We start from the raw sequence: 12,611 nt of genomic DNA, 5'->3' as shown, positions 1-12,611 counted from the left end.
TGTAGAAGAAAAGTTTAGTGAATCTGAAGACACAGAAATAGACACCGTGGAAACCAGAGTACACAAAGAAAAAAGACCTAAAAACTATAACGAACAGAGCCTCAGTGACCTGGGTCTATTGTATATACATATTATCAAGTGGTCCAGTGGATATAACAGTAGAAGTGGGGAAAGAAAGAATATTTTAAAAAGTAATGGCCAAAACTTCCCCAAATTGAGTGAAAATTAATTTTTACTTCTGCAAGACTTCTATTGTACATAATGAATTAACTTCTGTCCTGTGCATCTAAGAGGTATATGTACCATCATTGGGATATTTTAAAGTATTCATATTATTTCCTGTTAGCTGTATTCTCTCATAAAGCCCTAGCTGAGAAAGGCCACTGTTGATCAACCACTAAAAATGGAGAGAAATACAGCTAGTAAGCCAGTAGTGAGGATAGAATGGAATACTAAAAACACTCATTCCAAAGAAGACAGGAAAAGAAAGAAGAGCAAGTAACAACAGGTGATAAAAATGGAAAACAACAAGATGGTAAGTTTAAACTCATGTGGATAGTTACATTAAATGTAAATTTTGTATACAATACAGTTAGAAGGAAGAGATTGTCAGATTAAACCAGTAGATTCAATGGCATGCTGTTTATAAAAGACACACTTTAACCATAAACATACAGTATAGGTTTAAAACTAAAAGGATAGAAGGAGATATGCCATGCTAACAATAGAAAAGAAAGCTGGAGCAGCTATGTTAACACCAGACAAACTAGGCTTCAAGACAAGAAATATTACCTAAGATAAAGAAGGGATGTTTCATAACAATAGAACTTCAATATACATAGAATGAAAATTTCCAGAAATAAAAGGAAAAATAAATAAATCAACTGTTTTGGTTGGAGATTACATAATTGATAGAGCAAGTAAAAAGAAAATCAGTGAGAATATAGAAAACTTTAGGTGTATTAGGAAACAATTTGACCTAACATTTTCGGAGAACTCAACAGAAGAACAGAATTCACGTTCAAAATGCACGTGGAATATTTATCAGAATAAAATGATGGACCATGAAACCTCAAATTTAAAAAACTGACATAAGAATATATTCTCTGACACCAGTGGAATTAAATTAGAAATAAAAAACCGAAAGACATATTTAAAATCTCCAGATAATTGGAAAATAAAAGAATATACTTCTAAGTAGTCTGTGGGTCAAGTAAGAAATCACAAGAGCAATTTGAATGTATTTTTGAATTTAGTGAAAATGAAAACATTAAATTTTGTGGGATGTAGATAAAACAATGCTTGAAGGAAATTATAACTTTAAAATCTTAGGAAAAAAGGTCTAGAATCAGTGATCTAAACTTTTACCTTAAAAGAGGAAACTAGTGAAATAGGTTATGCACAAATAGAGAACAATCAGTAAAACCAAAGCTGATTCTTTGAAAATGTTTAAAAAAAAAAAGCCAACCTGATCAAGGAAATGAAAGGTGGTAGGTCAGAGGTGAGGTCAGAGGGAGACAGGACACAAATGACCAAAATCAGGATTGAAAGATCATTCACCACTACAAATCCTACGACATTTAAACAGTAGAAAGAGAATATTATGAGAAACATTATAGGAGCAAATTCACCAACTTGCAAGACACAATTACCAAAACATGACATGAGAATAGGGAATCTGAATACTTCTGTACTTTTTTAAGAAATTGAATTTGTAATTAAGAATTTTTCCACAAAGAAAGCTCTGAGCAGATAGCTTCACTAGTGAGTTCAGTCAGCCATTTAAGGAAGAAATATTATCATTTCTACTCCAACTGTTTCAGAAAATAGAGAGCATACTTCCAGACTCATGGTTTGAGGCCAGGCCAGCATTACCTTCCTACCAAATACAAAAATAGTTAATGAAAGATATATACAGACAAGCATCCCTCATGAAAACAGGTGTAAAAGTCCTAACAAAATTTTAGCATATCAAATCCAATAATTCATAAAAAGATAATACATCATAACCAAGCAGGATTTATCTCATTTATAAATCAATACAATTCACAATTTTAACAGAAACAAGAATTGTGTGGTCATCTCAATGTTCACAGAAAAAGCATTGGACAGAATTTAATATTGACTCATGATTTCTTAAAAATTTCATAAAATAGAAACAAAAGGATACTTCCTCAAACTGACAGAAGGCCTTTACAAAACATTTACAGTTAGCATATTTAGTGATGAAAAACTATATGCTTTTCTGCTAAAAGGGGAAGTAAACAAGCCTGTCCACTCTCGTCACTCTTATCCAACATTGTCCCATAGGTTTTTGCCAGTGCAATAAGTGAGCAAAAGAAATAAAAGACATACAGAGGCTGGGCACGGTGGCCCACACCTGTAATCTCAGCACTTTGGGAGGCCATGGCGGGTGGATCACCTGAAGTCAGGAGTTTGAGACCAGCCTGACCAACATGGTGAAACCCCATCTCTAACAAAATACAAAAATTAGCCAGGTGTGGTGGTGCATGCCTGTAGTCCCAGCTACTTGGGAGGTTGGGGCAGGAGAATCCCTTAACCCAGGAGGTGGAGGTTTGCAGTGAGCCGAGATCACACGATTGCACTCCATCCTGGGCTACAAGAGTATAAGAGTGAAACTCCATCTCAAAAAGAAAAAAGAAAAATACAGAATGGAAAGAAGAATTTAAACACTGTCTTCACACATGTCATGATATGTTCAGATAAAATTTTAAAGAGTCTACCAAAACACTTTTGGAACTAATAAGTGAATTAAGCAGGGTCATTGGATACAAGTTCAAAATATAAAATGAATTGTGGTTCTATGTACTAGCAATGACCATTGCAAAGTAAATTTTTAAAAATCACTAAAATTTACAATAGCATTAAAAACCATGAAATACTTTAAATTTAACACAATATTTGCAAGATCTGTAGACTCAAAACTACCAAACATGACTGAGCAAAAATGAAAGAAGACTTAAATGGAGACATAATGTGTTCGTGGATCAGAAGATGAAGTATTTTGAAGATGTCCTTTCTCTTTGAACTAATCTGTAGATGCAGTGCAATCCTGGATAATATACTTACAGCGATTTTTGTGTACAATGGCAAGGTGGTTCTAAAATTTTGATGGAAATGCAAAGAGCAAAGTTGGTAGATTAAACACTACCTGATTTCAAGACTTACTATAAAGGTACAGAAATCAAGACACCAGGATACTAGTGTGAGAACAGACATAACAGAGCCATGGAACAAAATAGAAATTCCAGAAATAGACCTGCACATACATATATGATGAGGGACCCATTGGTGGCAAGGGGCTGTGATCTGTTTGTTATTCTCCTCCACTTTCAAGGGAGTGGCAGTCCTCTCCAGGACCCCCTTCACCCCATTCTAGATCTTGATTCCTTCTCTCTGTTGGGGTGGGAGGAGGCTGGATCAAGAGGCTCCTCGCACTGCTGCTGCTCCTGTTCTCTGGGTGGCATGTGTCCATTGCTGGCTCTCCTATGGTTTCTGTTGGTGCCACCGCTCCCTGAGGTAGGAGGTCTGACTACAGATCCCCATCTTGCACTGCCACTCGTCTCTGGCAGTGCCCAGTAGTCTCTGTGGCAGAGTCTCTAGTAGTCTCTGTGGCAGAGACTACTAGCTGTTTCCAAATAATGGCTGGATCTTTCTTCCTTTTAGTAATAATACTGCTACCCTGGTTCAGATCCAGCTAGATCAACGTAACCATTTTAGCTCTACATAACCATTTTAGCCTCCCATATAGCTTGGAGATGGCCTTATGGCAAAGTTTCTGCCCACATAGATGGCTGCAATGTGAACTGGAGAACATTCTCATCAACCTCAGAGACAAGAGCAACACCCAGCGGGTGGCAGAACAACACGAGAGATAACCCAAGAATACCTACAAGTTTGGGATATTTTAAAAGGAGAGAGAAGCTTTGATGTTTTTTAAGCCTATGTTATTTTTGTCCGCTGAATAATCGTAACTCATGTCTTTGCCTCATAGGCTGTCTCTCTGTGTAAGGGTCTGGCAAGGTAGCTGCAGCCCAGGTACCTTCCATGATGTTGAGGAGAGACTCTCCTATCCTCACCACACCAGAGAGTAGGTATGCAGGTTGCCACCAGTGTTCTCCTCCCTACCCACTCCCTCACTTTTCTTTTCATTGGTTCAGTAGAAGGAGGGGCTGTGCAGTAAGTCTGCCGCTTGAGCACAGGGACAGCTGTCACTGCAGTGCTGGTCTCCTGTTCTTGGAGGCACCTCAGTCTCCTTGACCTCTTAGACACCCTCCTACCCCCAAGGTGGGGAAGGAGCAAGCAGAGGCAAAATCCCAGCCCTCCTTGTTAAGACTACAGTGACTTTCCTCCTCTCCCTTCTCCGTGTCCGTAATGCATAGCTGGAAGGAAGTGTCTGGGTGGTGATGCCAGTAGCTGTGCTGGTGCCATGCCAGGTGCTCTTCATGAGCACCAAAGGAGGGCAGGCTCAGGTTTGTTGCTGTCTTTAGAATCTGGGGTTCTCGATAGTCTTTGCCCTCAGGTTGGATCTCAGTCTCCAGATTGTGGGTAGCAGGTCAGTCCCACTTCCTGTCTCATTACAAGATGTCATATTTCAGAATAATCTTGTTAATGGTTTTATTAACAAATGTTATTTTAGGACAGATTTCATGAAGTGTTATTTTATGCCACTAAATAAATCATAAGCTTAATTGCTACAGTCTGGGTAGAAGCATATTTGTTTTACAGTATAAGCCTCACTAACTGATTTAATGGAGTAGCCAAAAGCAATTTCAAGTACTTCCATATATTACAAATGATCAATCTTTGTTGTTTCTAAGATAAGATATAACTGAAATAAAATGTTTACATGACATTATTTAAATTTAATTATATTTAATTCCTATAAAATGGAAGATAAAATGCCAGAACTTAGAGCTTATGTATTTTTAAAATAGAGCTGCGTAACTTATAGAGCCTCAATTCATGAGCAACTAGCTTGCTTTTTGAAAATGAAAAAGAGAAAAAAGATGACAGTTTCCAAGTTAATTCACATTATACTTTTGATTATAAATAATAAATGTCATTTCTAAATGATCACTTTGCTGTGTACCAAGTTAGCACTTGATAGTTGAAAATAAAAATTATTTTATGACTACTAACTTGTAAGGAGGCAGTATAAATAGCTTTTATATGAAAAAATAGATATATATGCCCAGGCATATTTAATCACTAAAAATTGCTTATCAGGACAGTCATGGAAATATCCTTCTGTAACAGTTTCTCTCAGATCTATTTCAGACTTATGCATCTGTTACTATATTTATCTTTATCTTAATCAGCCCTTGCTGTGAGGTTTGGTTATTTTATTACAAGCAGCTGGGCAAAGCTTTTTCTTTTAAAAACTACATTCTTTTGTAGTGCTGCCATCACTCACATTACACACTTGGACAGCAAAAGCACGTAAACAGTAGAACTAGATGAAATACTTGATGTCACTATATTTCATGATACTGTAACAGAAACCACTCCTTCGGGACGATATAACATGAAAGCATTACAATTTTTAAAAATCTTAACAAAAGATACAGTCAGTGTATGGATGATCGCTCTTAGAGTTTTTGAACATGAAACTTCTTTTCTTATGCTGGGTTTAACTGTGACTATATTTACTCATCTGAGGGTTAATATCATGCCAACATTTAACTAGTTTGCTCTGATACTAATATATACATACTAGTGTTTAGTGACTTTATAAGATTATTAGAAGTCTACAATTCCAAACCTCTGGCCGAGATGAGAACTTTTTAAATATATAAACCCTTTTATAAATCTAACCTTACACTTTATTCCAACTTTGGTATGACAGTTTGAAATGTTTTCAATTCCAGGCTATAAATTCCAGATTCAGTTTTCCTTTGAGTTTATGCTGTATACCAGGTCCTGGGGTAGGAATTATTCCATTGTCTCTTAGTTTTATGTCAAGTCTAAAAGGTAGGTTACTCCCATATCAAAAATATGGAAACTGAGTCTTAGAACCTTTTCCAAGGTCACATAGGTAATTAAGGATATATTGATTGTCCCATTCTGCCATTTAGGATTTTTGTTAGTTAAGAGATGTGCTGTGATATTAGGAAAATGATGTTCAGTGTAAACATATTGTTGCATTGATGTCATACGAATGGTTGCCAATATAGGCAGTTCTTGACATGTTTTATTAACTGAAGAGATATGGACAGCTTGCTATTTTAGATTACCCATCTCTTATGTTTAGAATTCGTTTTTGTTTCTACTATCACACTTTTAATTTAGTCTTCTGTTACCTGCCCTCAGAGCTAATCCAGCATCTTACAGTTAAACTCTGGAATTCTATCCTCCATACATTTATATCCATGATTGCTAAATGAACTTTACATCAAAACCAGTGGTTCACATTGCTTACTAAAGAAAGCATAAGCTCATCCTGGCATTGAACACTTTATTTTCATTGCTCAGTTTTGCCCTTCCCATCCTGTCTGCACCCCGTCTCAGCCATTTGAGGCCCCTGCTGTTGTTGGGAGAGGCCTTCTTGTTCCCAGTGCCCCTGCTCAGGGAAGACTTTCCGCAGCTTCCTCCCATAGTGCTTTGTTTAATCCTCTTACATTACCTTTATTTTAGCCCCAAGTTATAAAATCTGGGAAATTCAAGTCAACCAGTAAGTTTGTGCACACCATCCAGAGATATTCTTCACAGATGTGCAGTCTTCCTGTGTCTGCTTTCCGGGAGAGGCCTGTGCACTGAAGACAATTCAGATTTACTTTATTAACGTTCTTTCTGTGAATTTGTTTATGGATCAATCTTTAAGTATGCCAGAAAGGACATTAGTTTTATTTCCATCGTAATTAGTTGGAAATGTAATTAGTTGGAAATGTAATTATTTTCACTCTGTACTTAGCTTATTTATTTGACTTAACGTTAATTTTTTCACAACATATTTATAGCTTGTCTCCTTAAATTGTGCTTTATTTCATACCATTAAAATACAATTTTGTATGCAGAAGAATTACTTGTATTAACACTTTAAAGTATACAAAGATTATCCACCACATAGTGATATATTTAGATAACCTTGATAGACTAATCTGAAAGGAGGTGCTGAGTGTTAATTCACATGGAGCCCCACAAGGGGGTACAGAAACTGCTTCAGTGAGCAGCTTGCAAGGCTCCTGATGACTGCAGTCCTTAGCTCTCTAGATACCAAGATAAGGGATCAGAGAAGAGCCACAAACCCGTGAAAGTCAGCTCCTCATTACACTTGACAAAAAATTTGGTTCAATGTAAATAGAAAGGTGTTTGTTCTGGGCTAGGAGGTTTACTGTGATGAGCATGCAGTACATACAGCCTTAGGCCCATGAAATAATACTGTAGGTTTACCTCTTCTTGGGTGTTTTATTATACCCCATAATTTATTTTCTGCTTTCACAGAGTTTGGTGGGATGTGTTTATAAATTTAACATCATAACAAAAATATTATTTACAAGTTTAGTTTTTAGGCTGTAAGTCATGATTTTCTGATAAATATGAATCTCTCAAATCAGAGTATCTGATAAATTTCCAGAGTTCTAGTTAGTTGCTCACTTTACATTATACCATGTAGAAAGCCCTAATCTGTGCATCTATTAAACATTAGAATGGTAACTAGTAAATTAATTTTTTCAAATTTCCCTTGAGAAAGAAGTAATTTGTCATGTAGTCCGAGGTTGCAATGTTTATTAGGTACGAGCTTACTTTTCATTCTGTATTTATGAAAGATTATTGTAGAATCTTGGTAAACTTAATCATTTCAAATAGTGAAAGGGCTTTGTTTAAGAAATTGTATGATGAATTATTCTCTGAAGAGTAATGGACCCTAGCATACTTTCAAAAATTTTAAACCATATGTTGGATGTATAGAAAAAGACAACCAAAAAAATCACTGGTATTAACAACTACTACAGAAGCAAAAAGTTTGCGTATTCTCATTACATATACAGCTATATCATATGTGATTATGGTCCAGTAGTAAAAATGTAAAAATTAAAAGATTGTTTTGGTACCTCCATGTCAAAAGGTCAATGCTACTGGCTTTGTTTCTTTGCCTTAAGGCTTTTATGATAGCTTTTATTCTAATGTAGTCAAAATATGTATTATATCCACATCCACTGATACCTTAGTAGTGTTGCACTTCAAGTATTCTTTTGCTGTCTATTTCTAATATCTTGCCTCTTTGGTAATCCAGGTGCCATCCTGCCCTTTATGCTACTCTAGCTGGGTGGGGTTGGGAGTCAGTGAAGATGGCCACACACAGTCTTTGTTGTCATGAGAGAGAGGTAGCGTAGTGATGGATGTGGTCACACTGCCAATGACAGCCTCTTGGGGGTTCTGCAAAATGAGGGTGATGGCACCACCTCAGAGAATTTATGTGAAAATTAAAAGTTGATAAAGTTCTTAGGACAGGGCCTGGCACATAATAAGAACTAGATATGTGTCACCTGCTGCTGTTTTATGCTTTTTTTCCAAGGCATCATACTAACGTGTAGCTCTTCCTTGACCATATGTACAAGTTTTGTTTTTAAATGCCTACTACTTTTTTCCTAAAAAAAAAAATTCGGCCGGCTGCGGTGGCTCAAGTCCGTATTCCCAGCACTTTGGGAGGCCGAGGCAGGCAGATCACGAGGTCAGGAGATCTAGACCATCCTGGCCAAGATGGTGAAACCCTGTCTCTACAAAAAATACGAAAATTAGCTGGGCATGGTGGCGGGCTCCTGTAGTCCCAGCTACTGAGGAGGCGGAGGCAGAAGAATCACTTGAACCGGGGAGGTGGAGGTTGCAGTGAGCCGAGATCGTGCCACTGCACTCCAGCCTGGGCAACAGAGCAAGACTCCGTCTCAAAAAAAAGAAAATCCTGAAAAGTAAAAAGAGATTAAAAAAAATAAAAAGGTTGACCGAAGATTGATAGATTTTGTCAACAGCATCTGGAGCTCAGTTAGACTTGAACCGTTTAACAGTAAGGAGGCCTTTGAAGGTACTGGAATGCAGGAAATATTTATCAACCCCTTACCACATTATAATTACATAATCACAGCACTTAAAGGGGCAGCGTGAATTATTCTTTGCTTGATCAGTATAAGAATTTATCCGAAGAGTTGCTAGAATAGATGAGGGCTGTTGGGTTATGAGGGAATGAAAGAGAATGCTCAGGAGCAGCAGGAGTAAATGGAAAGTTTACTCTATCCTGGCATTCACTCGACATTTGGCTCCCTTTCCCTTTTTCTTTTACAGGCTCTTTGGGAGCTTATATCAATGGAAACCACAGCTTCTGGCTTTTATAATGAATACATGATCAGCCAGTGATTGACTTGTATTTACCATTCTCCAGTGACTCCTCTCAGAAATCCAGCTACTTTGTAAATAGTAAAGACCCATCATGAGTAAATCTCCTATGAGTATTCACACTCTGAAAACACACAGCAAAGGCATAAATTTCACCTTGGCAGCCTCTGCATTATAGAAAGACCTGTGAGAGGAGGTGAAACTTCTTTACTGGAGAAAGATTAGTTTCAGCTTAGGAGAGAAGAGCTCATTTTCATGTCTTGATAAGAGCTCAGCACCTCAACCATGTCATTGCACTCCAAATGTTGGAGCACTGCTGCTGCACCTAGAGGGGACTGGCAAGGAGAGGACATGGCGACCTCCCGGAATGTTCATAATGGCAAGCCCATCCTGTCTACCTTACCTAGGAGGTGATAGAAATAAGATTCCCAAAGGTAAAATGCATCTTTGTGGTACGTCGGTAACCCCTGGTCTGGACCCTAGGCTGGTGCCCTATCTCTTCTGCTGCAGCCGTGTGTGGTGGGCTCACAGCTCACCCATGTGCTGAAGGAAGCTGCCACTCCACCCACGAGTGGTTTCTTCTCTTTATCAAATACTTACTTGCCTTTACAACACCCAGGGGATGTGCTGATGTGTAATATTAGAAGTCCTCTAGAGCAGAAATCTGTATCCCTCTCTAAGTTGAAGGAAACAGGGAGCTCACACTTGGTCATCCGCAGTCTGACAGAGGCTTGTCTTGAGGGCGACTCTCTGCCGTCAAAAGACGGAGGACATCAGTGATTCATTAAATATTGGAAACTAGAAGTTTCTGTTTACTGAGCTTTAAATGATGGGTGCTGTACTCCAGAGAGAAGAAAACATAATGAGTATGTCCTCAACATTTTCTTAGGGTTTTAGTTGCCTGAGCAATAAAATACGGGTATGCAGATTACATAGTTGCTGCAAATATGTAGCAGTGGCAAAAAATACTCTGTAGTGATTTAGAATCACATACTAGCAAAAATACTGCTTAAGCTAATAGGTCACACATCTGGCAGCTCCCTGGGAATATAAGAGACTCACCTGTCTCCGTGTGTGGAAAAGGCAAGGGGCAAGTTCTCCTGCTGTAACTGATCCTCAGTCAGGACATGCAGTGAACAAGAAAATGTAATAAATAGACACTGTGTTTGCTGAGTGATACAGTGGCCTTTAGGGCCCTTTACAGAATGCTTTGGTATGAGTGTGGTATCAAGAGAATTTTTCAGAGGAGTGAGAAAAACTTGCACACCATGGCAAGCTGGGATGGGTGAGTCGTGAGGAGTGGGTGAGGTGGGTGTGCACTGGGAGGGCTGCCATGTGCTGGGCAGCAGGTGCGGTCTCAGACCTCCGGGACTCCAGGCTCGCCCTGGCAGGTGGAGGCCAGGTTCTTGACAGCTCCTCTGTCCTTCTGCCTGGAGACAATTTTTTAAGTTTTTCATTTTTTTTCCTTCTTTCTAAAAGAAGAATTTAGTGGAGAATACAACTGGAACCCCTGATTTTTTTTTTTTTTCTTGAGACGGAGTCTCACTCTGTCTCCAGGCTGGAGTGCAGGGGCACTATCTCAGCTCACTGCAGCCTCCACCTCCCAGGTTCAAGCAATTCTCCTGCCTCAGCCTCCTGAATAGCTGGGACTACAGGCACGCACCACCGTGCCCAGCTAATTTTTTTGTATTTGTAGTAGAGATGGGGTTTCACCATGTTGGCAAGGATGGTCTTGATCTCTTGACCTTGTGATCTGCCTGCCTCAGCTTCTGCAAGTACTGGGATTATAGGTGTGAGCCACTGCACCCGGCCAGAACCCCTGATTTAAAAACAATTGCAAAGCCTTTTTGTTTAAAATGAACACAAACAGTAGTTGATGAATACCTTTTTGAACATGGTCTTTAAGTGTACTTTTACCTGCTGTATTCATAGTCATGAGCAAAGGTACAGAAGATATTTGAGTATTAAGTATGCTTTGAAAGTATCTCTTATATTGCTGATCTTATGTCGGTGTTACCAAAAAAAAACTACCGAACAAACAACTTTTGTGTAATTAGCTCAAAGAATAGCCACAAGGGTGAGGTTACAGGAAAAGAGGGCTTTATAAGATGATGTGTGAGATATTGTTTCTTTGGTATGTCACAGAGCCATGTGGGTCCAGTGTTCCCCAAACCCCCTCTTACAGAACTCCAGGTCAGTGTTCAGAAATATTGTGTTCTTTTTTTTTTTTTTTTTTTTTTTTTTTTTTTGAGACAGGTTCTCTGTCGCCCAGGCAAGAGTGCAGTGGTGCAATCATGGCTCACTGCAGCCTCAATCTCCCAGGCTCAGGTGATCCCCCCACCTTAGCCCCCCAAGTAGCTGGGACTACAAGTGTGCATCACCAGGCCTGGCTAATTTTTGTATTTTTTGTGGAGACAGGGTTGTGCCATGTTTCCTAGGCTTGTCTCGAACTCCTGGGCTCAAGTGATCTGCCCACCTTGGCCTCCCAGAGTGCTGGCATTACAGGTGTAAGCCACCGTGCCTGGCCCAGAAATGTTGTATTCTTTACTCATTTCTGTTTTTCATAATTTACATGGAGGTATCCACTGCAAACATAGAAGCCTAGTCACAGTATCACAGTGTTGACCGTGAGCCAAAAATGCCATTGTGCTAGCCTGCTAATAATAACAGTAAGTCCTCGCTTAACATCATCATTGGTTCTTGGAAACTGCAACTTTAAACAAAATGATGTACAGCGGCTCCTGAAATCACATCCTTTTGTTCATCCTTGTTCCTTTATAATGTTGTTGTGAGGGGAAATGGTTTTGTTACATGTTGTTTCGCTTGAAGTCCCAGTTTCCAGGAACCAACAATGTTATGTGAGGACTTACTGTACATATATAAGTGCATTTTGATATGAAACAGTGAGGACAAAAACTGGTATTATAAGCTTAAGATTTACGTACTAGTTATTTAAATTTCCGTGTCCCACCCCAGAGCTCATATATGTAATCTAGACCATATTCCCACTACCCCTGGGGGCACTCCCGCTTCCCACAGGCTTCCTTTGTATCACTCCTTTTAGGTTGTGCTTTCTTTGTCTAAAATCCAATATTGTTAGGAACTTATGCCCATATTTTTCTTCCTTATATTTCTAATAGTTGTAGGCATTTTTAGGAAAAAGTTATGTCCTTTATCTTGAGATGTTTTTGGTAGACTCCTTAGAGACAAAAATAACACATAATACAGAGTTGAACATTGAAAAATAAAGCCTCATGCAA

General features: G+C 38.7%; 1 protein-coding gene across 17 annotated transcripts in view, besides 1 other annotated feature; it reads left to right on the top strand.

The window, feature by feature from the left end:
• AUH (AU RNA binding methylglutaconyl-CoA hydratase) overlaps positions 1-12,611 on the top strand; it is a 148,096-nt gene that overhangs the window by 101,026 nt on the left and 34,459 nt on the right. The gene's annotated exons all lie outside the window — the stretch shown is intronic.
• Positions 2,137-2,306: an enhancer, noted in NCBI's record as "experimental_109225 CRE fragment used in MPRA reporter constructs". NCBI's record gives its function as "activates a minimal promoter by MPRAs in K562 erythroleukemia cells, with activity observed for both the introgressed and non-introgressed 9:94020954 variant alleles {active_cell/tissue: K562}" and the evidence as "EXISTENCE:reporter gene assay evidence [ECO:0000049][PMID:34662402]".

This window comes from Homo sapiens, chromosome 9, assembly GCF_000001405.40.
Source record: "Homo sapiens chromosome 9, GRCh38.p14 Primary Assembly".
NCBI classification, from domain to species: Eukaryota; Metazoa; Chordata; class Mammalia; order Primates; family Hominidae; genus Homo; species Homo sapiens.
This window is presented reverse-complemented; position numbering and strand designations above follow the sequence as displayed.